General features: G+C 41.7%; 2 long non-coding RNA genes across 2 annotated transcripts in view, besides 1 other annotated feature; both read left to right on the top strand.

Moving 5' to 3' along the window:
- The window catches only part of F11-AS1 (F11 antisense RNA 1), a 214,961-nt gene that overhangs the window by 116,786 nt on the left and 72,877 nt on the right, over window positions 1-25,298 (top strand). The gene's annotated exons all lie outside the window — the stretch shown is intronic.
- LOC124900874 (uncharacterized) lies at window positions 2,256-4,026 on the top strand. Its single transcript, XR_007058499.1, has 2 exons — window positions 2,256-2,858; window positions 3,851-4,026. It is a non-coding gene; the product is annotated as an uncharacterized LOC124900874 (long non-coding RNA).
- Window positions 11,966-13,165: an enhancer, noted in NCBI's record as "CDK7 strongly-dependent group 2 enhancer chr4:187292262-187293461 (GRCh37/hg19 assembly coordinates)". NCBI's record gives its function as "activates an origin of replication core promoter dependent on BRD2, BRD4, P300/CBP, MED14 and CDK7 cofactors, with strong dependence on CDK7, by STARR-seq in HCT116 cells {active_cell/tissue: HCT116}" and the evidence as "EXISTENCE:reporter gene assay evidence [ECO:0000049][PMID:35650434]".

Below are 25,298 nucleotides of genomic sequence, written 5' to 3'. Positions count from 1 at the left end.
TTGATTTCCAGTTTTATTCCACTGTGGTCTGAGAGAGTGTTTGATATAATTTCAATTTTCTTAAATTTATTTTGGCTCGTTTTGTGGCCTATCATGTGGTCTATCTTGGAGAAAGTTCCATGTGCTGTTAAATAGAATGCGTATTCTGTGGTTGTTGGATGAAATGTTCTGTATATATATGTCAAGTCCATTTGTTCCAAGGTATAGTTTAAATCCCTTGTTTCTTTGTTAACATTCTGTCTTGATGACCTGTCTAGTGCTGTCAGTGGAGTACTGAAGTTCCCCACTACTATTGTGTTGCTGTCTATCTCATTCTTAGGTCTAGTAGTAATTATTTTATAAATTTGGGAGCTCCAGCATTAGGTGCATATATGTGTAGGATTGTGATCTTTTTCTTTTGGACGAGACCTTTTATCATTATATAATGTCCCTCTTTGTCTCTTTTAACTGCTGTTGCTTTAATGTTTGTTTTGTCTGATATAAGAATAGCCACCCCTGCTCGTCTTTGGTGTCCATTTGCATAAAATGCCTTTTCCCACCCCTTTACTTCAAGTGTATGTGAGTCCTTATGTGTTAGGTGAGTCTCCTGAAAGCAGCAGCTAGTTGGTTGGTTAGTTCTTACGCATTCTGCGGTTCTGTATGTTTTAAGTGGAGCATTTAGGCCATTTACATGCAATGTTAGTATTGAAATGTGAAGTACCATTGCATTCATCATGCTCTTTGTTGCCTGTGTACTTAGGGTTTTTTTGTTTTTGTTTTTTAACTTTTATTTTTGTTTTATAGGTCCTGTGTGATGTATGCTTTAAAGAGGTTCATTTTGATGTGTTTCCAGGATTTGTTTCAAGATTTAGAGCTCCTTTTAGCAGTTCTTGTAGTGGTGGCTTGGTAATGGTGAATTTTCTCAGCATTTGTTTGTCTGAAAAAGACTGTTTCTTTCCTTCATATATGATGCTTAGTTTCGCTGGATACAAAATTCTTGGCTATTAATTGCTTTGTTTGAGGAGGCCGAAGATAGGGCCCCAGACCCTTCTAGCTTGTAGGATCTCTGCTGAGAAATCTGATAGGTTTTCCTTTATAGGTTACCTGGTGCTTCTGTCTCACAGCTCCTAAGAATCTTTCCTTCATCTTAACTTTGGATAACCTGATGACGATGCGCCTAGGCAAAGATCTTTTTGCGATGAATTACCCAGGTGTTCTTTGTGCTTCTTGGATTTGGATGTCTAGGTGTATAGCAAGGCTGGGGAAGTTTTCCTCGACTCTTCCTCCAAATATGTTTTGCAAGCTTTTAGAATTTTTTTCCTCAGGAACAGAGATTATTCTTAGATTTGGTTGTTTAACATAATCCCAGACTTCTTGGAGGCTTTGTTCATATTTTCTTATTCTTTTTTTCTTTGTCTTTGTTGGATTGGGTTAATTCAAAGACCTTGTCTTTGAACTCTGAATTTCTTTCTTCTACTTGTTCAATTCTATTGCTGAGACTTTCCAGAGCATTTCACATTTCTAAAAGTGTGTCCAAAGTTTCTTGAATTTTTGATTTAGTTTTTTCTTTAAGCCATCTATTTCCTTGAATATTTCTCCCTTCACTTCTTGTGTCATATTTTTGATTTCCTTGCGTTGGGCTTTGCCTGTCTCTGGTCCCTCCCTGATTCGGTTAATAACTAACCTTTTGAATGCTTTTTCAGGTAAATTAGGGATTTCTTCTTGGTTTGGATCTATTGCTGGTGAACTGGTGTGATTTTGGGAGTGTTGAAGAGCCTTGTTTTGTCAAATTACCAGAATTGGTTTTCTGGTTCCTTCTCATTTGGCTGTTGTTCAGATTCTTTTGTCCCACGAGGTTTTCCTTTGATGTAATACTCTCCCCCTTTTCCTATGGATCTGGCTTCCTGTGAGCCAAACTGCAGTGATTGTTGTCTCTCTTCTGGGTCTAGCCGCCCAGTGAGTCTACCCGGCTCTAGGCTGGTACTGGGGGTTGTCTGCACAGAGTCCTGTGATGTGAACCGTCTATGGGTCTCTCAGCCATGGATGCCAGCACCTGTTCTGGTGGAGGTGGCGATGGGAGGCAGGGAGAGTGCAATGGACTCTGTGAGGGTTTAGCGCTCTATTTTTGTGCTGTTTGGCCTCCTGCCGGGAAGTGGCACTTTCCAGAGAGCATCAGCTGTGGTGGTGTGGCGAGGAACCGGCGGTGGGCGGGGCCCTAGAACTCCAAGATGATATGCCCTTTGTCTTCTGCTACCAGGGTGGGTAGGGAAGGACCCTCAGGTGAGGGTGGGGTAGGCACCTCTGAGCTCAGGCTCTCCTTGGGCGGTCCTTGCTGCGGCTGCTGTGGGGGCTGGGGGTGAGATTCCCAGGTCACTGGAGTTATGTACCTGGGAGGATTATGTCTGCCTCTGCTGAGTCATGCAGGTTGTCAGGGAAGTGGGGGAAAGCCGGCAGTCACAGGGCTCGCCCAGCTCCCACCCAAACCAAAGGGCCGGTCTCACTCCCACCGTGCACCCCCCAACAGCCCCCAGTCCGTTTCCAGGCGGAGAGGGATACAGGCCTGAAAACCTGCCCCAGGCTACCCGCCTCCCAGCTGCGAGAGAAAAAGGCTTGGTTCTTCCCCCGCCTGTGGAGTCTGCACCCCGGATTCGTGCCCTGCCCTAGTTCTGGCCAGGAGGATTCTCACCCAGTTCAAATTGTTACAACGCTCAGCTAGAGATTTCCTTCTCCCTGTGGAGTTTTACCCCCTCCTCTCCCGATGGATCCCTGTGGTGCCAGCAGGAATGGGCTGCTCGGGGACCCAGCGAGCTCCGCGGGCCTTTCCGCTGCTTCCTCTACCCCTGTACCTCACTGGGCTCCCCAGACGGACTCAGCTCCAGGTAAAGTTGGAAATTCTCCCGCAAACAGACCTTCAGCTTCCCCAGTGGGGGTGTGTGTTTGGGAGAGGAGGGTCTCCCTCTCCCACTTCTGCAGTTGGGGCACTCACACTTTTGCGGGGGTCTCCCGGGTCCTGCAGGAGCAGCCCACTTCCTTCAGAGGGTCTGCGGGTCCTCTCGGGACTGCTGGTTTCTTCCTGCAGTCCATCTGGAGCTAAAAGTCACAATGCGAGCCCCGCACGCTGCCCTGAGGGAGCTGCAATGTAGTCCTGCCTCCCGTCCGCCATGATGATCTGTCTCTTAAAAGTCTCCTTTCTATGATCTTTTCGGGTAATACATATCATTGGCCAAAGGAGAGTGTATTAGTTAACTCAGTTATGGTGATGTATTTCGGGAATCTGGAAATATATTTTAAATTATACCTCTTTGTACCCAATAAACAATAAATTTGAAAGCTTTTCTGTGCTGTTTTAATGTCTTCTTATTGCTATATTTCTCCTTGATATGTAAGATGTTTGTGCGTACATGGCAAAAATTATAGTCTTCATTCATGTTAACAAATTTTGCTTGAATTACCACCCTAGAAAACGCATAAAAACAACTTATTAGCATATGGTGTATAGAATTTCTTAAAACTGTCATTAATATTTTCTTTACTACCTTTAAAATTCAATGGTTCTCAGTGTAACACCACTATATTTCAGTCCTGTTATCTACTTTTTTTTTCCTGAGGTTATAAAAAGAATCTGACAACTACAAAATGAACTCTGCTTTTGTTCATACACAGCACAGCACGGGGTCCGACAAGTTCTACCTTGAATCAATTATTCTGTGACAAATATCACCTGAGGATTTCCAGATTGCTGCTATTATTGTGAACTTATAAGCTTTTTATTATGAAAAATAGCATTTTCAATTTTCATATTGAATAATCATTTCGAATATGTGTAAATTTGACTTCATAGTGTACCAACACCTGTGTTTCCATCACCCAGGTTCCAAAATCATCAGTTGAAGATGATCCTGCTTCATCTACATCCCACCAGTTCCTGGCCCCCATAGTAAGCAAGCCGTGGACATTATGTAGTTTTATCCTGAAAATTTTTAGGATATCTCGAGAAGCTAAGAACTCTAAATAAAACAACCACCAAATGACTATCTCATATAAAAATTTAGCAATTTCTTAACTTATAAAATATCATGTGCATATTAAAATTTTCTGTCATCTTATAAATGTCATTTAAAAAATAATTTGTTCCAATCAGGATCCAATGTGTCTCCTGGTATGATTGGTTAAGACACAGCTAACATTGGACTTGGCGTGGTGGCTCATGCCTGTAATCCCAGCACTTTCGGGGGCTGAGGCTGGCAGATCGTGAGGTCAGGAGATTGAGACCATCCTGGCCAACACGGTGAAACCCCATCTCTACTAAAATACAAAAAATTAGCCAGGCGTGGTGTCACGCGCCTGTAGTCCTAGCTGCTTGGGAGGCTGAGGCAGGGGAATTGCTTGAACCTGGGAGGTGGAGGCTGCAGTGAGCCAAGATCTTGCCACTGCACTCCAGTCTGGTGACAGAGCGAGACTCCGTCTAAAAAAAAAAAAAAAAAAAAAGACTTGGTTTACATTTATTTTGCTCTCTAGATTCTCATCCATCTTCTTTTTCTCTTACAATTTATTTATTGAAGAAAATGGATTATCTTTTCTATAGAACTTTTGACAATCACAGTGTGGATTTTCCAGATTACATCCTGGTCTGCTTTACAATGTCTTCCTCCATCTTCGGTATTTTTTAAATAAATTGGTAGTTGAATATAAAGGCTTGATATGATTTTGCTTGATTGGTTTATTTAATTTTGGGAGGACAAGACTATTTCTGAAGTTATGTATTTCTCATCAGGAATCATGTATTTCTGGTTATCTTTTTTAAAATTGTGTCAGTAGCCATCTAAATATCAGTGTCATTCATTAATTCATGAGAAGTTGCTAAATTACTATATTCAATTTTATTGTTTGTTTTCATATATTCTTCTCATCTCGTATTTGGTTACTCCCTAAAATTGTTGGTAAAAAATGACATAATAAATGCTTGAATGTTTTCTTTTATTTATAAGTTTTCAAAATATTGAGTTTTGCATTCTCCAATTGTGACCAATGTGTGGTGTGTGTGTGTGCTGTGTGTGTGTGTGTTGCAGTCTGAAGAAAGGGTGCTTGTAAGAAAGCTAAATATCACTTGGAAAAAGCTGATTGGCTTTACCTTGGCAAATTCAACCCAGACCAGGTTTGGGTTTTCCAGAATGCAGGATCGAGAACCTGATCTGACAGCACAGAGATCAGAGCTGTACTCAGTGGATATAATCACCTCATAGAATTGAGATATGAAAATCAGAAAGGTGGTTCCTTCCACTCCAATGAGAAGTACAACCCCCAGGTCAACAGGGGACTTGTGATCACTGATCAATGTTTTCTTTCCCTGGAGAAAAAGATACAGTGGAGCTCTTAGTTATTATGTGAATTTTCTTAGCGGAGCACAGGAGCTGGTTTGTTAGGTGGGTCTTCGGCTGGCACCACGGCACCGCAACAGTTTTCGACATCTGTCGCCAGTCTAGAAATAAACCTGCGAATGGCCTTGTTTTATTGGAGCAGGGCAGATGTTCTGGCTGTTATTTACACATGCGCTCCCTTGATTGACACATTTTTTTCTTTCAACTTACGCTGAAGTCTTGGCTTTACAGATTCATTTTATTTCTTTTCAACAGTGATTTTGTATATCTGTACTGGGAGCTGGAGGGAGAGTGAAATACGTAACCCTGAGAGTGAAAGTTAGAAAAATCTACGTGAATCACAGAGGCATTTGCCAAGATCGGCTCAGAGAAAAGAACATCATGGTGGCTCACTCCTGTAATCCCAGTGCTTTGGGAGGCTGAGGCTGGAGGATTGCTTGAGGCCAGGAGTTCGAGACCAGCTTGACAACATAGCAAGACTCCGTCTCTACACAAATGGCTATAGCCCCAGCTACTTGGAAGGCCGAGGTGGGAGAATCGCTTGAGCCCAGGAGGTTGAGGTTGCAGTGAGCCATAACTGCACCACCGCACTCCAGCCTGAGCAGCAGAGTGAGACTCTGTCTCAAAAAATAAATAAAAATTAAAAAAAGGACATCAGGTTCAGCAAAGCCTAAAGGGAACATACGAGGAGGGAAGAGTTTGTTGGCCTTAGCATAGGTCGAGGGTTCTGTGGGAGGTCTAGTTCTGGCACAGCCTGCGCTGAGACAGGAAGCTCTCTCAGATGCTGCCATAAACACTATGTATGAGGAACAAATGCTGGGCATGTGAGCACATGAGCCCTGACTTTGAAGCCAACCATGGGGCATGACTGCAATGCTGGGGGGAGCCAGGCCAGCAAGGACCAGGGAAATGGAGATGTGTCCATCTGACGCTAAGGCGGTTCTCTTAACAATTAAAGCAACCAAGTAACTGTGCAATTACAGGAATAGAAAACCAAATGCTGCATATTCTCATTTATAAGGGGGAACTAAATGATGAGAACACATGGACACAGAGGGGAACAACACACATTGGGGCCTTTTGGAGGGTGGAGGGAGGGAGGAGGGAGAGGATCATGAAAAATAACTAATGGGTACTAGGCTTAATACCTGGGTGATGAAATAATCTGTACAACAAACCCCCATGACACAAGTTTACCTGTGTAACAAACCTGCACGTGTATCCCTGAACTGGAAATAAAAGTTAAAAAAAGTAACTGTGCAATTAGACAAATCAGATTTATCTGTTTTTCTCTCTGTCTAGCATTGAAACTCAGCATTGATATTTTAGGCCTAAATAACCCTTAGGGGCTATTGAACAATTTGTGTGGTTAAGAGTAAGGCTTCGGAGAGGAAGAGCATATGTGTGCGTGTGTGTGTGTGTGTGTGTGTGTGTGTGTGTGTGTGTATGTAGTATTTGGGAGCTGGAATCAGAAACAAGCAAAAATAAGTTTTCTCTGCATTTGTGCTGTAAACTGGTAATATGAACTCATATTACTGGTTATAATCTCCGTCACTCTTAACCTCTTCCAAAGTCATTTTCTGAGACTACCTGTGTGTATGTTACCCCACCGAGAGTTAGAAACATGGAAGCTTATAGGGTAGAACCTGTTCTAGGACACACTGATGTACGTGGGAAGGGGGAGAATACTAATAAAACATAAACCACACAATAAATTATGAGGAAAATGGCAAACAAAAGGAGGAACGATGGCAACAAATACATATTTCACATGAGGACTGGAGGAAGTCAAAGAGGCCCTGAAGGCAGAGGTGGCCCAGGGTGGTCTGTGGAACTGAGCCAGGCTGTGGAGAAAGCACAGGAGCTGGCTGTTTGGCAATAAGGAGGCTCATTTAAAAACAGGCACAGTTTTCCTTTCTATCCCTGGTCGACATCATCCCAGACTGCTTCATGGATGAATTCTTATGAAACATTTAAGGAAGAAATAATTCAAATCATAAAAAAGCTTTTAGAAAACCCTAATACAAACCTCTGACAAGAGCTTCTGACAAGAACACACGCACCAGCATCCCTCATTAACATGAATGCAAAAATCTAGAACAAAATTTTGGTAAATTAAATCTAATGTTATAGAAAAATAATGTATCATCACAAAGTGAGGTTTATCCCGAAACTATTATGTTAAAGTTTGAAAAAAAATCAATATAATTTAAAGAAGAAAACTCAGATGATCATCTCAAGATTCAGAAAAAACATTTAACAAAATCCAACATTCATTCATGATGACAAAAAAAAGAGGGTATCTGTGCAAATCTTACAACTAACATTACACTTAATGGTAAAATACTGAACTCATTTCCCCCGAAATGAGAATCAAAGCGAATATGTCCCCTCTCACCACTTGCATTAATTATTCTACTAAATATCTAATCCAATGCAATAAGGAAAAAAAAGACAAAAATAAAAGAGAAGAAATATTGGAAATGAAGAAGTAAAACTATATTTGCAAATAACATGATTTTATATAGAAAACTCACAGAAATCTAAGAAAAAAATCTGCATTTATACTAAATTGGATAAGTTGAAATCAACATGACTTCAGGATATGAGGTATATATATATATATAAATTTTCTGTATTTCTATATACAGACAAATTTATAGAGATCAGTTCCAATAAAATAAATATCAAAAAATAGAAAACAAGAAAGACCTAAGTACGTGGAGAGATATATAATCCTCATAGTTGTAAAGTCATTAATTTTTCCCAATTCGTCCATAAATGCAATTGAATTTCAAAGTTGCAGCAAGGTTAGAATTTTTTTTGAGGGGGAGTATATATTGATAAGTTGATTCTGACATATATATGGAATGTAAAGGACTCAGAATAGGCAAAACAATTTCAAAAAGAATAACAAAATTGGATAGCATACTCCACCTGACTTTAAAGCACATTATAGAGCTGTCATGAGATGTGAAATCAACATGTGGATAGACAGACTGATCAACAGAGCAGAATGGAGATTTCAGATATAGCTCCACAATACATGGTCAATCAACTTTCAAAAAAATGCAACAAAATAATTTATTTTTTAATTTTTATTTTTCGAGACAGAGTCTCACTCTATTACCTAGGCTGGAGTGTGGTGGCATGATCGTGGCTCACTGCAGCCTCAACCTCCCTGGCTCAGGTGATCCTCCCACCTCAGCCTCCTGAGTAGCTGGGACTACAGGTGCATGCCACCACACCCAGTTAATTTTGGTATTTTTTGTAGAGACAAGGTTTTGCCAAGTTGCCAGAACTGGTTTTGAACTTCTGAGCTAAAGTGATGCTCTTGCCTTTGCCTCCCAAAGTGCTGCAGTTTTATGTGCGAGCCGCTGTGCTCGGCTGCGACAAAATAATTCAATAAGTTGAGGAAAACTTTCAGCCGAAAGCACATAGTCAATTAAATATCTATATTAAAATGATTGAAAATTGGTCCATATATTATGCCATGTATAAAAATTTACTTGAAACATGTTACATTTTTAAATTGAAAAGCTGAAACTACAAAGCTCCTGGAAAAATACAGAATATCTTTGCAACCTGTGGTTATGCGAAGTTTTCCTAGAGAGAACTCAGAACAAATCATGAAAGAAAAAAACAACTACATTTAATCAAAATTAAAACTTCTTTCAAGGAACACACAATAAAAAAGCAAGCCACAAACTGAATATAATTATACATCAACAACAACAATAACAGCAAATTCCCGTAGGGAGAGAGCGGCAATGAGCTACAACAACAGCCCGCTTAAAACCCCAAGACTAACAACAGTTAATGCTGGAGAGAACGTACAGTTAACTCTCATTCTCTCTTGTTTGGGTGTCAACTGGTACAACCATTTTGCAAAACTATTCAGTACTGTCTAATAAAGCTGAATAAAAACTTTCCCTTTAAGCTAGCAATTTTACTCCTTGCTATATTCCCAAAAGAAATGCACAAATATGTGTACCTACATACGAGAATGTGTGCAGCAGCATTATTCATGGTTGCCAACATTGGAAACACCTGAAATGTCCATCAGCAGTTGAACAGCTCATTCATGTTTTGTGTGTTTATAAAATGAACCAACTTATAGCTTGAAAATGAATGAACCACTGCTACCCAAAACAGTATGCGGTGAGAGGAAAAGAATAAAGAGGAGTGAGAGGAAAAGCAGAGAGACGAGTGAGAGGAAAAGCATAGAGATGAGATGGGATATGCAGTCCGCTGTTTGCAGGGACTTGTCAGTTATGGAAAGGAGATTGAGGTTTTTGATCTCTCTGATGACAAAGGCATGAAAGATTTTAGGGAGGGATTGATTTAATATGATTTACATATTTTTAAAGAGTTTACTCTGGCTGCTCTGTGGAGAATGGGTTGGGTTGTGAGTTAAGTGAGGAAGCCAGGAGACTCATTAGGATGTTGCTGAAGAGATCAAAGAATAAGTGCCTGGAGCTAGAAGGTAGTGAAGCCTGTTAAAGATTGTTAAAAATGAATAGAAATAAACTATCCCCGAAAGCCAAAAAAATTGCCAGCATTTGCTTCTTGGTATATTTAATTCAGACTAATTATTTTTAAAAAGTTTTGGCCAGACGCAGTGGCTTACGCCTGTAATCCCAGCACTTTGGGAGGCCAAGGTAGGCGGATCACCTGAGGTTGGGAGTTCGAGACCAGCCTGACTAACATGGAGAAACTCCATCTCTACTAAAAATACAAAATTAGCCAGGCATGGTGGTGCATGCCTGTAATCCAAGCTACTCAGGAGGATGAGGCAGGAGAATCGCTTGAGCCCAGGAGGTGGAGGTTGCAGTGAGCCAAGATCACACCATTGCACTCCAGCCTGGGCCACAAGAGCAAAACTCCGTCTCAAAAAAAAAATTTGTTCTTCTCTTTTGCCATACAGATTCTGCTTATGTAAGAGCTAAGCAGAATTTAGACTCCTACATAGTTTTTAATTATGTAGGAAAAAAAATTTGTTCGTCTCAAAAAAAAAATTTGTTCTTCTCTTTTGCCGTACAGATTCTGCTTATATAAGAACTAAGCAGAATTTAGACTCCTTACATAATTTTTAATTATGTAAGGAGTCTAACGCATCGCACAGTCATTTAGAGCCAGCTGCCAAGCTAGGCAGTATTCCATCCTAACTCTGATGAGGCAGTGGTCTCCGGCTAGATGGGAAGCTGGCCCGCATAGAGCTTTGTTTCCCAAATTCATGAATCACTAGACTTTTATATATTATTTATGAGAGTTCTAAGGATACCATGTCTAGTTATTAGGTTACAGAGGCTTTCTGTTATTTTGGTGTTTATGCTTTAACAGAAACAGTCATGGCTGGCACCATGCTGTTATGTTTCTGCTTATGTCCATGGTAATGTCAGTTATTAGCTTGTGTAGTTTAGGGGAAAGCTCAGGTCATTTGATTGCTAACGATTAATGAGAATATACTCAATTCAAGTTATATTTTTTTTTATTTTGCAACAAACAGATGATCTTTTTTTCAAAAACTCCCTCCCATGTATCTCTTAATGAAATCTAGCAATGCAGAATCACTAATCATGCACTCAGAATATAAATGAGACTATTATTAGAGTACATAGGAACTGAATTCAGCACACTTGTGTTATTGGAGAATCCTCCAGGTGTTGATTAATTGGGATTGACGGTACTGTCAATGAATAAAGATCCCGTGATTTTTGCCCTTGTACTTCTGATTCAAATGAGATGCAGTGAAATACAATTCCCACCTGTATCGGCAGCACTTTACAAGAAGTGACAGCTATTGCTTTCCCAAAGAACTCAGATCAGAAACCCATGTAGAGTGATAGATTCACAAGTGATAGTTTCCTGCATGCTGGTTCATGCAGGAAACTCTGCTCTAAACAAAGGGAGAATATGTTGCCCCTGTATGCACCATGTATATGAACTCGAAGTCCAATTAAAAACGTTCTGGACATTTATTTCAGTCAACTCTGCCATGAAGTTGGTCTGTAAAATCCAAACGAAGTCACTTCAACTGTATTATTCGATTTTGTTGTGAATTCTAGAGCCACGATTAAATTGATTCCTGGTGCTAGGTGGATTTGTTCCAAGGAGATTTGGATAGCAGGCAATGTTCTAAGGTTACAACCCATTCTGAAACTTCAGGCCGTTCTGCAATGCTTATTTGCTGTCTCTCCCCAGTGAGAATATCATCTTCGTGAAGATAAATACTTTGTCTATTGTATTCACCCTGTATTCTCAGCACCTATAACAGGGTCTGGCACAGAGGCTGGAGCTTAATAGATGCTGTGGCGGTATGACTGCTGTCCACCAACTATTTCCATTTCTACCATTAAGCTCATGAAGAGACTACACTTCCACACACACTCTCCTTGAATTGAGGTCTAGCCTGTGACTTGCTCTATAAGCAAAAGTGACTTGCGTCACTCCTGAGTGGATGCTGTGTACTGGCCCGTGTGTTATTCACACGCGCGTCACTCCCGAGTGGATGCTGTGTACTGGCCAGTGTGCTATTCACCATGCGCGTCACTCCCGAGTGGATGCTGTGTACTGGCCAGTGTGTTATTCACATGCGCGTCACTCCTGAGTGGATGCTGTGTACTGGCCGGTGTGTTATTCACCACGCGCGTCAGTCCTGAGTGGTTGCTGTGTACTGGCTGGTGTGTTATTCACATGCGCGTCACTCCTGAGTGGATGCTGTGTACTGGCCGGTGTGTTATTCACCACGCGCGTCAGTCCTGAGTGGATGCTGTGTACTGGCCGGTGTGTTATTCACATGCGCGTCACTCCTGAGTGGATGCTGTGTACTGGCCCGTGTGTTATTCACATGCACGTCACTCCTGAGTGGATGCTGTGTACTGGCCGGTGTGTTATTCACCACGCGCGTCAGTCCTGAGTGGATGCTGTGTACTGGCCGGTGTGTTATTCACACGCGCGTCACTCCCGAGTGGATGCTGTGTACTGGCCCGTGTGTTATTCACCATGCACGTCACTCCCGAGTGGATGCTGTGTACTGGCCGGTGTGTTATTCACCATGCGCGTCACTCCCGAGTGGATGCTGTGTACTGGCCGGTGTGTTATTCACCATGCGCCTCACTCCCGAGTGGATGCTGTGTACTGGCCGGTGTGTTATTCACCATGCGCCTCACTCCCGAGTGGATGCTGTGTACTGGCCGGTGTGTTATTCACCATGCGCGTCACTCCCGAGTGGATGCTGTGTACTGGCCGGTGTGTTATTCACCATGCGCGTCACTCCCGAGTGGATGCTGTGTACTGGCCGGTGTGTTATTCACCATGCGCGTCACTCCCGAGTGGATGCTGTGTACTGGCCGGTGTGTTATTCACCATGCGCGTCACTCCCGAGTGGATGCTGTGTACTGGCCGGTGTGTTATTCACCATGCGCGTCACTCCCGAGTGGATGCTGTGTACTGGCCGGTGTGTTATTCACCATGCGCGTCACTCCCGAGTGGATGCTGTGTACTGGCCGGTGTGTTATTCACCATGCGCGTCACTCCCGAGTGGATGCTGTGTACTGGCCGGTGTGTTATTCACCATGCGCGTCACTCCCGAGTGGATGCTGTGTACTGGCCGGTGTGTTATTCACATGCGCGTCACTCCCGAGTGGAGGCTGTGTACTGGCCGGTGTGTTATTCACATGCTCTCTTTCCTTCTGACATGGTGACCAGCAACGTTTCAGGTACAGACTGCTCATGCAACAGGAGACCTGGCCAAGAGTGTTTAAAGCAGCTCCATTCACAATGAGCAAATTCTTGTAAACAACTCATTGCCCATTAAAGAAGTGTGGGTGAATAATTCATGGTCTGTTCACATGATGAATGTCATATTACTATACAAGCAAATGAACCACAGAAACAACAACAGGATGAATTTTAACAATACTATATTTAAAGAGAAAAGTGAAGTTCCAAAAAATTGCATTTGGCACTTTAATAAAACTTACAAACAATCAAGATTTCAAGAGAATTTACTTATGCACATGCATAGATAAAACTCAAAAGAAAAGCCGGGGAATTATGAATCTAGGATTAGGATGTTGGTTACCTTGAGTGGGTTGATAGGGGTATCATACATTTTGACATAAGTCGTTGTAAGGGACCTACATTTTGTTTTGAGCTGTAAGTTCCTTAATGCTCATTTTATTTGTTTATTTATTTATATTATACTTTAACTTCTGGGATACATGTGCAGAACGTGCAGGCTTGTTACATAGGTGTACCTGTGCAATGGTGTTTTGCTGCACCCATCCACCTGTCATCTACATTAGGTGTTTCTCCTAATGCTATCCCTCCCTTAGTCCCCCACCCCCTGACAGGCCCTGGTGTGTGATGTTCCCCTCCCTGTGTCCATGTGTTCTTGTTGTTCAACTCCCACTTATGAACACTTGTGAATGAAAACATGCAGTGTTTGGTTTTCTGTTCCTGTGTTAGTTTGCTGAAAATGATGGTTTCCAGCTTCATCCATGTCCCTGTAAAGGACATGAATTCATCCTTTTTATGGCTGCATAGTATTCCATGGTGTATATGTGCCATATTTGCTTTATCCAGTCTATCATTGATAGGCATTTGGTTTGGTTCCAAGTCTTTGCTATTGTGAACAGTGCTGCAGTAAACATACGTGTGCATGTGTCTTTATAGTAGGATGATTTATAATCCTTTGGGTATATACCCAGTAAGGGGATTGCTGGGTCAAGTGGTATTTCTGGTTCTAGATCCTTGAGGAATTGCCACACTGTCTTCCACAATGGTTGAACTAATTTACACTCCCACCAACAGTGTAAAAGCATTCCTATTTCTCCACATCCTCTCCAGCATCTGTTTCCTGACTTTTTAATGATCGCCATTCTAACTGGTGTGAGATGGTATCTCATTGTGGTTTTTCATCTCATTTTTAAAAATGATTAATTAAATAACTACAGGTCAATGATGAGAAGGCCTTCTCCCTTCTAGCCTGACTATAATAAAACTGTGACTCTGACAGAACTATCTTGCAAAAGCAATGGAATTATGAGTTTTACTCCAACAAATACATTATTATTATTATTATTATTATTATTATTATTATTATTATCATCATCATCATCATTTTGAAATGGAATCTTGCTCGGTTGCCCAGGCTGGAGTGCAGTGGCGTGATCTCGGCTCATGGCAACCTCTGCCTCCCGGGTTCAAGCGATTCTCCTGCCTCAGCCTTCCGAGTAGCTGGGACTACAGGCACCCGGTACCAGGCCTGGCTAATTTTTGTATTTTTAGTAGAGACGGGGTTTCACCATGTTGGCCAGGCTGGTCTCGAACTCCTGACCTTGTGATCTGCCTGCTTCCGCCTCCCAAAGTGCTGGGATTACAGGCATAAGCCACCGTGCCCGGCCGAATACATTATTTTTTAAATGTCATTTGAATCATCTTATCCAGATCTAATTGAATTACTATTTCAATAGAAGATGCTATATTTTAGTGGCTCTCTCAAACTAAAACTACAAAATGTTGTTCAAACCATTAGCCACAGTTCACTGCGTTATCCTTTCTAAAGTTATTTCTAGTAAACTTCTCCTTTAAGTTTATTGACATTTACATGTTTTTGTCTTGTTTTGTTTTTTAAGAAGATATTGAGTAAATGCAGCAATAAAACAATCTACAGTTCTGCCATCTCCCCCCACCATCATCACCTTCATCAGAGAATATGATGACTGAGAGTTTTTAAAATAAATTAGTGTTTTGTGAGCCAAGCTCCTCCGAAAAATATGAAATATTCAATTGAGTTTTGTTTTGAGGATCATTGAACAATAGCAGGTTTTGCTTGTTTTTAAATTTCCACTTTGACAAATTTTCTCTTAACCTTCAAAGTTTATGTAGCAGACATAAGCAAGACATTTAAACCAAAGAAAAGAGGCCAAGAAAGTAGAAAGGTGAATGGAAACAGTTTTACAGGAGGAAACAATTTTACAGGTCATCACTAGTTTTGTTGAGAGTGATTTGCCATATATATCTACAGTGCTTCTTAAAGCACATAGTTAATTTAATATTTAACTTACCTGTAATATTATAGTTACTAATACAAACTGCTAACCATAGCATTAATATAACACTTTTCCTAGGGAAGTGTAAAGAGTTATAATGATAGAAACAATTGCATTATAGAATCAGGGACATTTGTTAAATATCCTGAAACTCTCTAGATATAAAGTTTTAAATTTGAAAACTTTAAAAATATTTTATTATGGGCAATGCAAGGTGGAAAATGGTATAATTGACCTACATGCATGCATCATGCAGCTTCAACAATGATCAATTTATGTCCAATCTTGTTTGATCTTTGTTCACCCACTGGAATCTGGGCTAGGCTGTTGTCATGTTCCTGCACGTATTGGCAGGTGAAGAGGAGCAATTATACAATGCTACTCAAGACAGCCGGCAAGTCACATCATGTTAACACAAACTGCTTGAGACATTGTGTCTACGTAACGCCAAACAGCCAGACTGAATGTTATTTTCTGAGGGAACTGGTATTTTGGCTTAATTGACCAAAGAAACAACATGCTTTTATATGTATGTATACAGTGTAAGGTGCAGACCCACCATCAGGCACAGGTTTGCTGGTAGCGGCTGCAGATGCAATTAAAATGGATCTTTCTTTTCACATAGTGTATAGAGGATAGAATGGAATAACTTGGAGGCCTTTTTTCTGTTCAGCCCGTATAGGAACAGTAGTCCCACTTAACCAGTATCGCCCTGCGTTCCAAACTAAGCAAAGTGAACATTTTAACGTGGACTGGATGCCCTTACTTGTCCATCTGTCAATGAATATAGTAATCGCATCAGGCTTGGAGTCAGACAGACAGTTTAAATCCTTGTTCTGCCACTTAGTAGCTGAATGTTCTTGAGCAAGTTACCTAATTATTCTATGAATCAGTCTTCTCATCTGCAAAATGGGCAGAATACGAGTACTTACCTCATAGGGAGGGTGGGATGATTAAATATGTGGATACACGTGAAGCTCTTCAGCATAGCATTTGGCCCATAGTAAGTCCTCAAATAATATTATTTTCTCTTAGGTTTTATCAGTTGCAATGCTTAGCTTTGTAACTTATAATCCATCCAGGACTTGGAGAAGTGCTCATCTTTCTTGTAGGAAATTTCCACACTGAGTGTGGACTCAGCTCCAAGAAATCTCAGTTGATTGCTGTGTAGACCTTAAAGTCAACTGAGCCAGTGATTTTCTTTATTTAAAAGACAATAGAACATTATAGAACATTATTTATCTTGTTGGCATACCCACTGAGCATTATGATTTTCTTCTTTAGTGAATGTAAATAGATCGTAACTCCTTAAACGCAGGGGTTATATCATCTACTTCATTTATAAAATCCTCTTTCGATTTAAAAAAAATAGTGTCTCTGTTCATAACAGGTACTTAATAAAATTGGATAAGAAGTCAAAAAACTAGAAATGAAATTATTTATTTGCCATGTCTAATATTGCTTATCACTCAAGGTCCATACAAAATTTGAATATTACAAAAATCTTTTGAGCATCCAACCCTAATGAGAAAACAAGGCAATGTAGAAAGTGTATGAAAATAATAAAACACTTCAACCACAAAATAGATTATTTGCTTCACTTGGAAGAAATAAATATGCTATTTTTCAGCACAGATGTTTACTAGCAAATGGAAGCGTCTTCTGTTTCTTCTTCCTTCCATTGATTGGGATGTAATTCACACCAGACAGTCAACAGGCAAAACTTTAGCCTCATAAAAAAGGAAATAATTTGGGAGAATTCTGAAGCTAAAGAATGCTAAACAGATGGGAGACATTTTCACTTAGGGGAGTTTGAATAAAGTATTCAAATGAACAGGTGTGGACTCGCCGGCCTGTGGGACATACTATGCATCTTCTTTTATCCTTAATTATTTTTCTTTTATCTTGATTATCTCAATACAGGCAGCTGAGACACGAAAGATGCTCCCTTTTTTATCATTTAATCTTTAAAGAGACTAGGGCCCATGGCTCACTGGTACAATTCCAAGTTTGAGAACCCCTGGTGAAGAAATGCCTATGTTGGGCCTATGCACTAGGCCCAAGAAACCAGGCCAAGCCAAAATATAGGCACTCATGCTAAACGCACACAATAAAATGGAAACTTTAAGGAAGCAAATGGGTCCCTGAACAAACCGGTTTCCCCTGAAGTCAGGAGTCCAGTCTACCTGAGTCCACTAATAAGGAAACCCCTTCTGCTTTAACTCTTACAATAGAAGTAAACAAGTTAACCAGTCAGTTTTTCTCTACTGTTCTGTTTCCTTGTCCCTATCTTGCAAAACCTACTTTTCCGGCATTGCCCAGTGGGGGCGCTCATTCTAATTTGTAGAATGGAGACAGCCCAGATTCATTAATCATGAATAAAAGCCAATTTGATCTATAACTAAATTTAGAGTGAGAGTAACTTCGTCTTTGACATACTTATGGGGATTCAGAATTTTGTGAATATAGAATCTTCTCATCTTATAAAGCCATTCAAGGATGAACCAACAGGACTTGCCGTTTGCTGACCCTGTGCAATGACCCTGGGCAGAGCTCTTCACACAGTGGGAGCGTGTCTGCAGCAGGCAGGGTGTATTGATGCTGACGGTCTGAATCGACCTAGGTGACCTCGTAACATCATCCTGTACTCCCCTGCAGGCCTGCGGGAGGAAGGAGGGACTGCTGTCTCCAACTCAACGGAATTGAAATGCTAAAATCCATATCATTTGCTCACAAACATCACTTCAGTACTGGTTGTTATGTCAATAAGGATAAAGTAACAGCAACAAAAAATAAGACAAGTAGCCATCTTAACATACTTTAAAAACGTGTATTGATCCTGACCTTAGTGTCAGAGGTCATTATTTCAGAGTAATCTCCAACTTTTAAAAGTTAGATGTGTGAAAGTTTACAATTTCTTCCTGTTTTGATATCACTACCAGTCCTACTGAGATCCCAGAAGAAAGACAATAGAGGCAACAGACTTGGGCTGCGATGAATGTAAGTTATCATACACCTGGCTAGTGCAAACATTTCTCCCATGGGCTGTCTGCCAGCTGCCTCAGCAGTAATTTGTTTAAAAATCCTGTATTGTGGTGATTGATATTGATGCATCTCTTTGCAGACTAACCTATGAATCACTTTTTCAGTGATTAAAAATGTTTTGGAAGCTGTCGGAAATTAAGAATGAGTTCGTTAGCACATCAATAGACTCATTAAGATGATTGGCAAAAATCACTGGAGTGATTGACTTCCTAGAAATTTGATTTTATTTTTAGTGTAATTCCTTTCTGCTAAGCAAAATAGTAGTTTATTTGGTAATTTTTATTGTGCTAATGATAGTAATCATTAATATTTCATCAAGCCTGGCCTCCAGAAAAATCACGACTTAGGCAAAGATTGTTTAGATCCATTTACCACTTTGTAATTTTATTTGTATTTATTTTATTAATTTATGCACCAAATATTTATTGTCCATGTAAGGTTGTTGGCGACCTTGACAAGTGCGGTTTTGGAGGAGTAGAGGAAGTGAAAGACAGATTGAAGTGGACTTGAGGGAGAGTGGGATGAGAAAATTGGAAATAACTTTGAGAAGCTTTGCTACAAAGGATGACAAAGAAATGGAGTATTAAATGCGATGGAATTGAGTGCAAGGGAAGGTGTTTTAAACAGAAGAAATAACAACATATTTATGTGCTGATGGGGTGACTCAGTGGATATTGAAGACGTGGTGATGGAGGAGAGAGGGGACAATTGCTGGCGTGTCGTCCTTCAGTAGGGAAGAGAGGTTGAGGTAATGAACAAGTAGAGAAGTCGACATGATTCATGACTGTTACCTAAGGCAGACCATTTGCGTATTTGGGTAGCCAGGTTAGAATTGTGATGGTGAGAGAGTGAGGACACCATCTTCTGAGGATAACTTTTGTTTTCTCATTGAAATAAAAAGCAACTGCGAGAATTGTGGAGGCATTTGGGGGATTTGAGGAGGATGAAGGTGGGCAGTTGGGAGAGTGAGAGGACTAAGGAAGTGCAGAAATGCCTCCTGGTAGTACACATGGTTCCCTTGAGGTACAGGGTCATGAATTTACTGTGTGGCCATTGTGATAGATAGTCAGCTGTCTGGGTACTGGGATGGAGCAGGCAGTGAACTGGATCTACCCCTCGGTGGGCATATTAAAATAACAGGAAGAAAAGGCAATAGTGTTGAGGCCTGCACAAAAGATGATTATTATGAGAGCCATAGCATCAAATTCAGAGGTGGAGAGCAGTGCATTCCTGAAGGCAACGGGAACAGGGAATGTTGTGGTCACAGGACACACAATCATCATCACAGAGGAAAACTCTGAGCAGGGTGTTAGAGAGAGCAAGCTGGGAAGCAGAAGTGCTAGGCAGAGCACAGAAAACTTGATATTGAAATTCTTCATTTTCCCATCTGTTGGGGTTATCAGACCCAACACCAGGTCACTGGGGTGATGAAGTCCAGAGGAGTCAAAGGAATGAGAAAAAGTGGGACCAGGGGGCTATCGCGAGTATGGAGGCTGCAAAGGCCTGGAGCTCTGGGAGCCCACGCTATTTATTGGTGCTCAAACAAACAGGTGGTGAGGATGGGGGAGGGGGGTGTTGAAAGGAAACAGTATATCAAGTGAATGAGAAACATATGGCTGCCTGAGATAATGGAAGTGCTAGAAGCAAGGAGCCAGCAAGTGTAGCAGACATGCAAGCCCTGCCTCAGCTTCTCTCCCAACACTGAGCTTTTTTCCCAACACCATCCATACATATCCCACCTCACTGAGCAGCTGGGACAGTTAAATGGGCAATGCATACAAAAATAGAGCACACAGCACAAAGCCCAGAACAAAGCAGATGGCAGGTGAGGCTGGTTTGCTCTTTCTTCTTCAGAGTGCTGCAGTCTCAGCCCTTAGCCGAGGGCTCTAGTAACTCAGAAATGAATGGAAAATGTAGGGTCCAGCCCCACAGGGTTGGTGGGTTTTCTCCTCATGTGCAGAGACGAGAGAGCATAGAAATAAAGACACAAGACAAAGAGATAAAAGAAAAGACAGCTGGACCTGGCAGACCACTACCACCAAGGCGTGGAGACCGGTAGTGGCCCCGAATGCCAGGCTGCGCTGATATTTATTGGATACAAGACAAAGGGGCAGGATAAGGAGTGTGAGCCATCTCCAGTGATAGGTGAGGCCACATGGGTCATGTGTCCACTGGACCCTTTCCTGCCTGGCAGCTGAGGCAAAGAGAGAGAGGAGAAGGAGAGAAACAGCTTACACTATTATTTCTGCTTATCAGAGACTTTTAGTACTTTCACTAATTTGCTACTGCTAACTAAAAGGCAGAGCCAGGTGTACAAGATGGAACATGAAGGCGGACTAGGAGCTTGACCACTGAAGCACAGCATCACAGGGAGACGGTTAGGCCTCCAGATAACTGCAGGTGGGCCTGACTCATGTCAGGCCTTCCACAAGAGGTGGAGGAGTAGAGTCTTCTCTAAACTCCCCCGGGGAAAGGGAGACTCCCTTTCCCAGTCTGCTAAGTAGCAGGTGTTTTTCCTTGACACTAACGCTACCGCTAGACCACAGTCCTCTTGGCAACGGGCGTCTTCCCAGATGCTGATGTTACCACTAGACCAAGGAGCCCTCTGGTGGCCCTGTCCAGGCATAACAGAAGGCTCACACTCTTGTCTTCTGGTCACTTCTCACTATGTCTCCTCAGCTCCTGTCTCTGTATGGCCTGGTTTTTCCTAGGTTATGATTATAGAGCAAGGATTATTATAATATTGGAATAAGAGTAATTGCTACAAACTAATGATTAACGATATTCATATATAATCATATCTAAGATCTATATCTGGTATAACTATTCTTATTTTATATTTTATTATACTGGAACAGCTCGTGTCCTCGGTCTCTTGCCTCGGTACCTGGGTGGCTTGCCGCCCACAGGAAAATTGAGAGGCAATGCTGGGTATCATTACTGATTAAGCAACATTAAATAATGAAGTATATAGACAACAAGCTTCTCCAGAAAGCTGCCTTCTGCTTAACAGTCTTATTAAATACCTATCCAGCTGTTCCTGTTTGGTGAGGTCACACTAGAGACAGGATATGCCATTCTAGCTGCTGCATCTCAAGGAAAGCAAGGAAGCCCCAAAAATGGGAATGAGATGCTTAAGAAGATGATTCCATCGGCTCTGGGGGTCAAACAGTGGTGGCATACATCAGTCTGCTCAGGCTGCCATACAAAACATCATAGACTGGGTGGCTTAAGTGACAGAAATTTAGTTCTGGAGACTGGAAATCCTAGATCAAGTACCAGCAGGCTTGGTGTCTGGCTCTCCTGTTGGGTTGCAGATGGCGCTGTCCTCCTGTGTGCTCACATGGCCTTTCCTCAGTGCATGCATGGGACAGGGGGATGCCAGGGAGGGCTGGTGTTCCTTCTTATAAGGACACTAATCCTATTGGATTAGAGCCCCACCCTGATTACATCATTTAACCTTAATTACCCCCTCAAGGTCCCACCTCCAAATGTAGCCACACTGAGGGTTAGTGATTCAACATATGAAGTTTGGAGAAGGTGAGACATGCATTCAGTCCATATCCTGGGGACTCTTACATCTAAAAAAAAGGCTTACAGCGAGGATGTTGTCTGGTTGTAAATGATCAAATTCAGAGTGCTACTATCTTTTGAATTTGAATGATTATTAAATTATAATATACAACACATGATTTCTAGGGAACAGTCTTCTTAGTTGGGCTCTAGCCAAAAACCTCTTTCTTACCTCCCTCTGCAAGAAGCTAACTGTATTCAGTGACAGGCAACTAGAGTCACCTCAGCTAGTGTTGGTCCTCAGTGCTTGCAACAGTGTGGAAGGGCTGAAAATGCAAGATCCAGACTTGGCTCTTGAAACAACTCCCAGCTCCCAAAGTCACTCTGCCTCTGCCCTGATTAGGAGAATAGCTTTTACTACCGGCACAGGAAACCAAGAAATCAGGAAGCTCCTGCTTTGGGAGCTTTCTACGTTCTGATATAGGCCACTCATTCATTCCTCTGTTCATTCTTTCAACAAATATGTGACACCGAGTGAATAAACAAATGAATGAATAAGAATAAATGCTTCCACCAAGTGTCACTGGTTTGAGAACCATGTCACCTTGGCCAGGACCAGGAAAGCTACCATAAGTGCTGCAGGAAGCTGCTGAGTTGGGAAGCCGCCTGCCAAATCAGGGAGCTGCTACTAGCTCCGGCATCATGCCCCCTCTACCAGGACCCATGTTAGCAAAACGGAGTTATGTTTTTTCCCCACTTGACTGAATTCCAAATCTAACTCTCTTTGGTCATCCACTGGATAGAACCTCAGTCACTTCCAGAACTCCAGGCTCTAGGCTTACGTGTGTTAACGTATTTCACTGTCTACTTGGGAAGAAAGATCCAAGATCTTGCTTTTAATAAAGGTCTTTGTTATAGACTGAACTGTGTCATCCCAAAATTCTTATGGTGAAGCCCTAACTAACCCCCTGTGTGATTGTGTTTGGAGACTGGGTTTTTAGGGAAGTAATTAAGGTTAAACTAGGTCATAGGGTGAGGTCCTAATCTGATAGGATTGGTGAGTGTCCCCATAAAAAGAGGAAGAGACACCTGAGATCTTGCTCTGTCTCCACTGGGAAAAGCCGTGTGAGGACACAGTGAGAAGGCGGCAGTCTGCAAGCCAGGCAGAGAGGCCTCACTGGGAGCCAACCCTGATGGCACCTTGATCTCAGACTGACAAACTTCAGAATTGTGAGAAAATGTGTTTCTGTAGGTTAGTTACCCTGTCTGAGGTATTTTGTCATAGCAACCTTAAAAGACAAATATAGTCATTAGGAAACAATTGGAAAAGTTAGTAAAAATGAAGCTTGCCAACTAATAAAAACCACTGTTTTCCACTAGGCATTTTTTTTTTAATGCAAAAGAAGGAACTAAACAAAATGACCGAATGAACTGATAATCAGGTATGTTCCTCAGACCAGAAATAGGGACTTAATGGGATTAGCCACGTGAGGTGTAGCTTTTCAGTGAAGGGCATGAATGTGTTGCTGCGGACTGTTAGAAACATTAGCATAATGCAAGAAGACAGCAGCCAGGAATGATAGAGGCCACATTCAGATTATGATGGAGACCAGTGTTTTGAAAATTGTGTTTTCACAGTGCCTGTGGTTCCTGAAGATGCCTCACAAACACCACAGGCCACTCAAGGGAGGCCACACAGGGTAGGGTTTAAAGCCCCACCCTTCCCGCCTCAGTTAAAGTTGCTCTTCATTATTTGTTTGGCGATTCGACAGTTTCAGGATTCAAATAGAAGAAAGTGAAACCTCATCAATGGGTAGATTCAGTGATGAACACTGGACAATGGATATATTTCTAGCAACATTTAAGGCTGGATATTCATGAATCAGGAGCAAAAGCAGGAGCTTTAGGAGATGGTATTAGAGAGACTTGTAGAAGAAATGAAGAATGAAGAAGACATCTGGAAGATCGAATTTTGGGCATTCTAGGAAAGAAATGTCCTTTCTCATGAAGGATCCAGAGATGAGAGCCAATTCTCAAAGCCCTGGGGCAGTTGCAGAGTGGAGGTACAGAAACACCCAGGACAAGAAGGGGAATGCAGAGCCCCACCTAGAGAGCTGAAGACCGTCCTTTCAGACCTGGGGCAGCACAAGCCAACGAGGTGCAAACTGGAGATTCATCCCCAGACGCCGACCCACAGTATGTGTGCACAGGGAACCGTAAGAGAGAGAGGCTGAGCTCTGTTTATATTTTTTACCAACAATAATTTTTATCAAAGTACCTCTTTTGTTTCATCTCCTCCTCATTTCCCCTTCCTTCCACCATCTCTCTATATACATACACATACACTGTGTGTAGCACTGGACTTATGTTGTTATCAGATGTATTTGCTCAGCTTTGTACTGTTGTGTTGTAAAATCGAATGGCATTAGATATGCTTACTGCAGTCCAAGGAGGGGTCTGCACCTTACTGCATACTGAATGTTGTGTGTATATTGTTGGTAATTCTCACAATATGACTCCCCTTGCAAAGCCATGGGTATGGTTTTTATTAACTGTGCTTTTAATTCTCCTGTGCTAACCCTGTATCTGTAATCTGTATCAACTATGTCTTCCCCATGTATCTGTAAGGGCAATTTCCTACAATTGAGTATCAAAATTGAGGCCGAATGTGGAGGAAAAGTTAAATATTAAATTTGAACTCAATTGAACATGGACACAAACAATGGTCACCAAGTCCCGGGGCAGGTCGTGTGAGCCCCTTGAGGTGTTCATCCAGTGCTGTTTTGGAGAAATCTCTATTTCAATTTATTCCTATACGTTACTTATTGAAAAATAATAGACAATCCCAAAAACAAGTCGACCTTTTTGTGTTCCTTGAGCCCAGTCTCAAAGGGCCCGCGTGACTGGGCCTCATGCCAAACAACTCATTACAAAAAGAGCTAGGGTCCCAGACCGTGCCGAAGCATCACGAGACCTCTCCTTGTCTATGCACAAACGAGTGTCCAACTCTGGAGCCCAGACTGTTGCTTCCCGGTCTGGTGGTGAATCCTTCATAGCCTGGTGAGTATGTGTATATATATATATTCCCTTCTGCCCTTCTCATTACAATTTGCTTATTATATCAGTTTGCTTATTATATCAGTTTGCTTATTATATCAATTTGCTTATTATATCATTTGCTTATTATATCTGCATTGTCATTCACATGGGATAAAGGTTGTTTACCCTTAAAGGTATTGTGTGTGTGTCTTTTCTTCTCCCCTCAAGCATTTCCCTCGCAGAACACACACCAGGCTAGTTTTTGTATTTTCGGTAAAGGCAGGGT

The sequence above is a fragment of the Homo sapiens genome, chromosome 4 (genome assembly GCF_000001405.40).
Source record: "Homo sapiens chromosome 4, GRCh38.p14 Primary Assembly".
Classification (NCBI taxonomy): Eukaryota; Metazoa; Chordata; class Mammalia; order Primates; family Hominidae; genus Homo; species Homo sapiens.
This window is presented reverse-complemented; position numbering and strand designations above follow the sequence as displayed.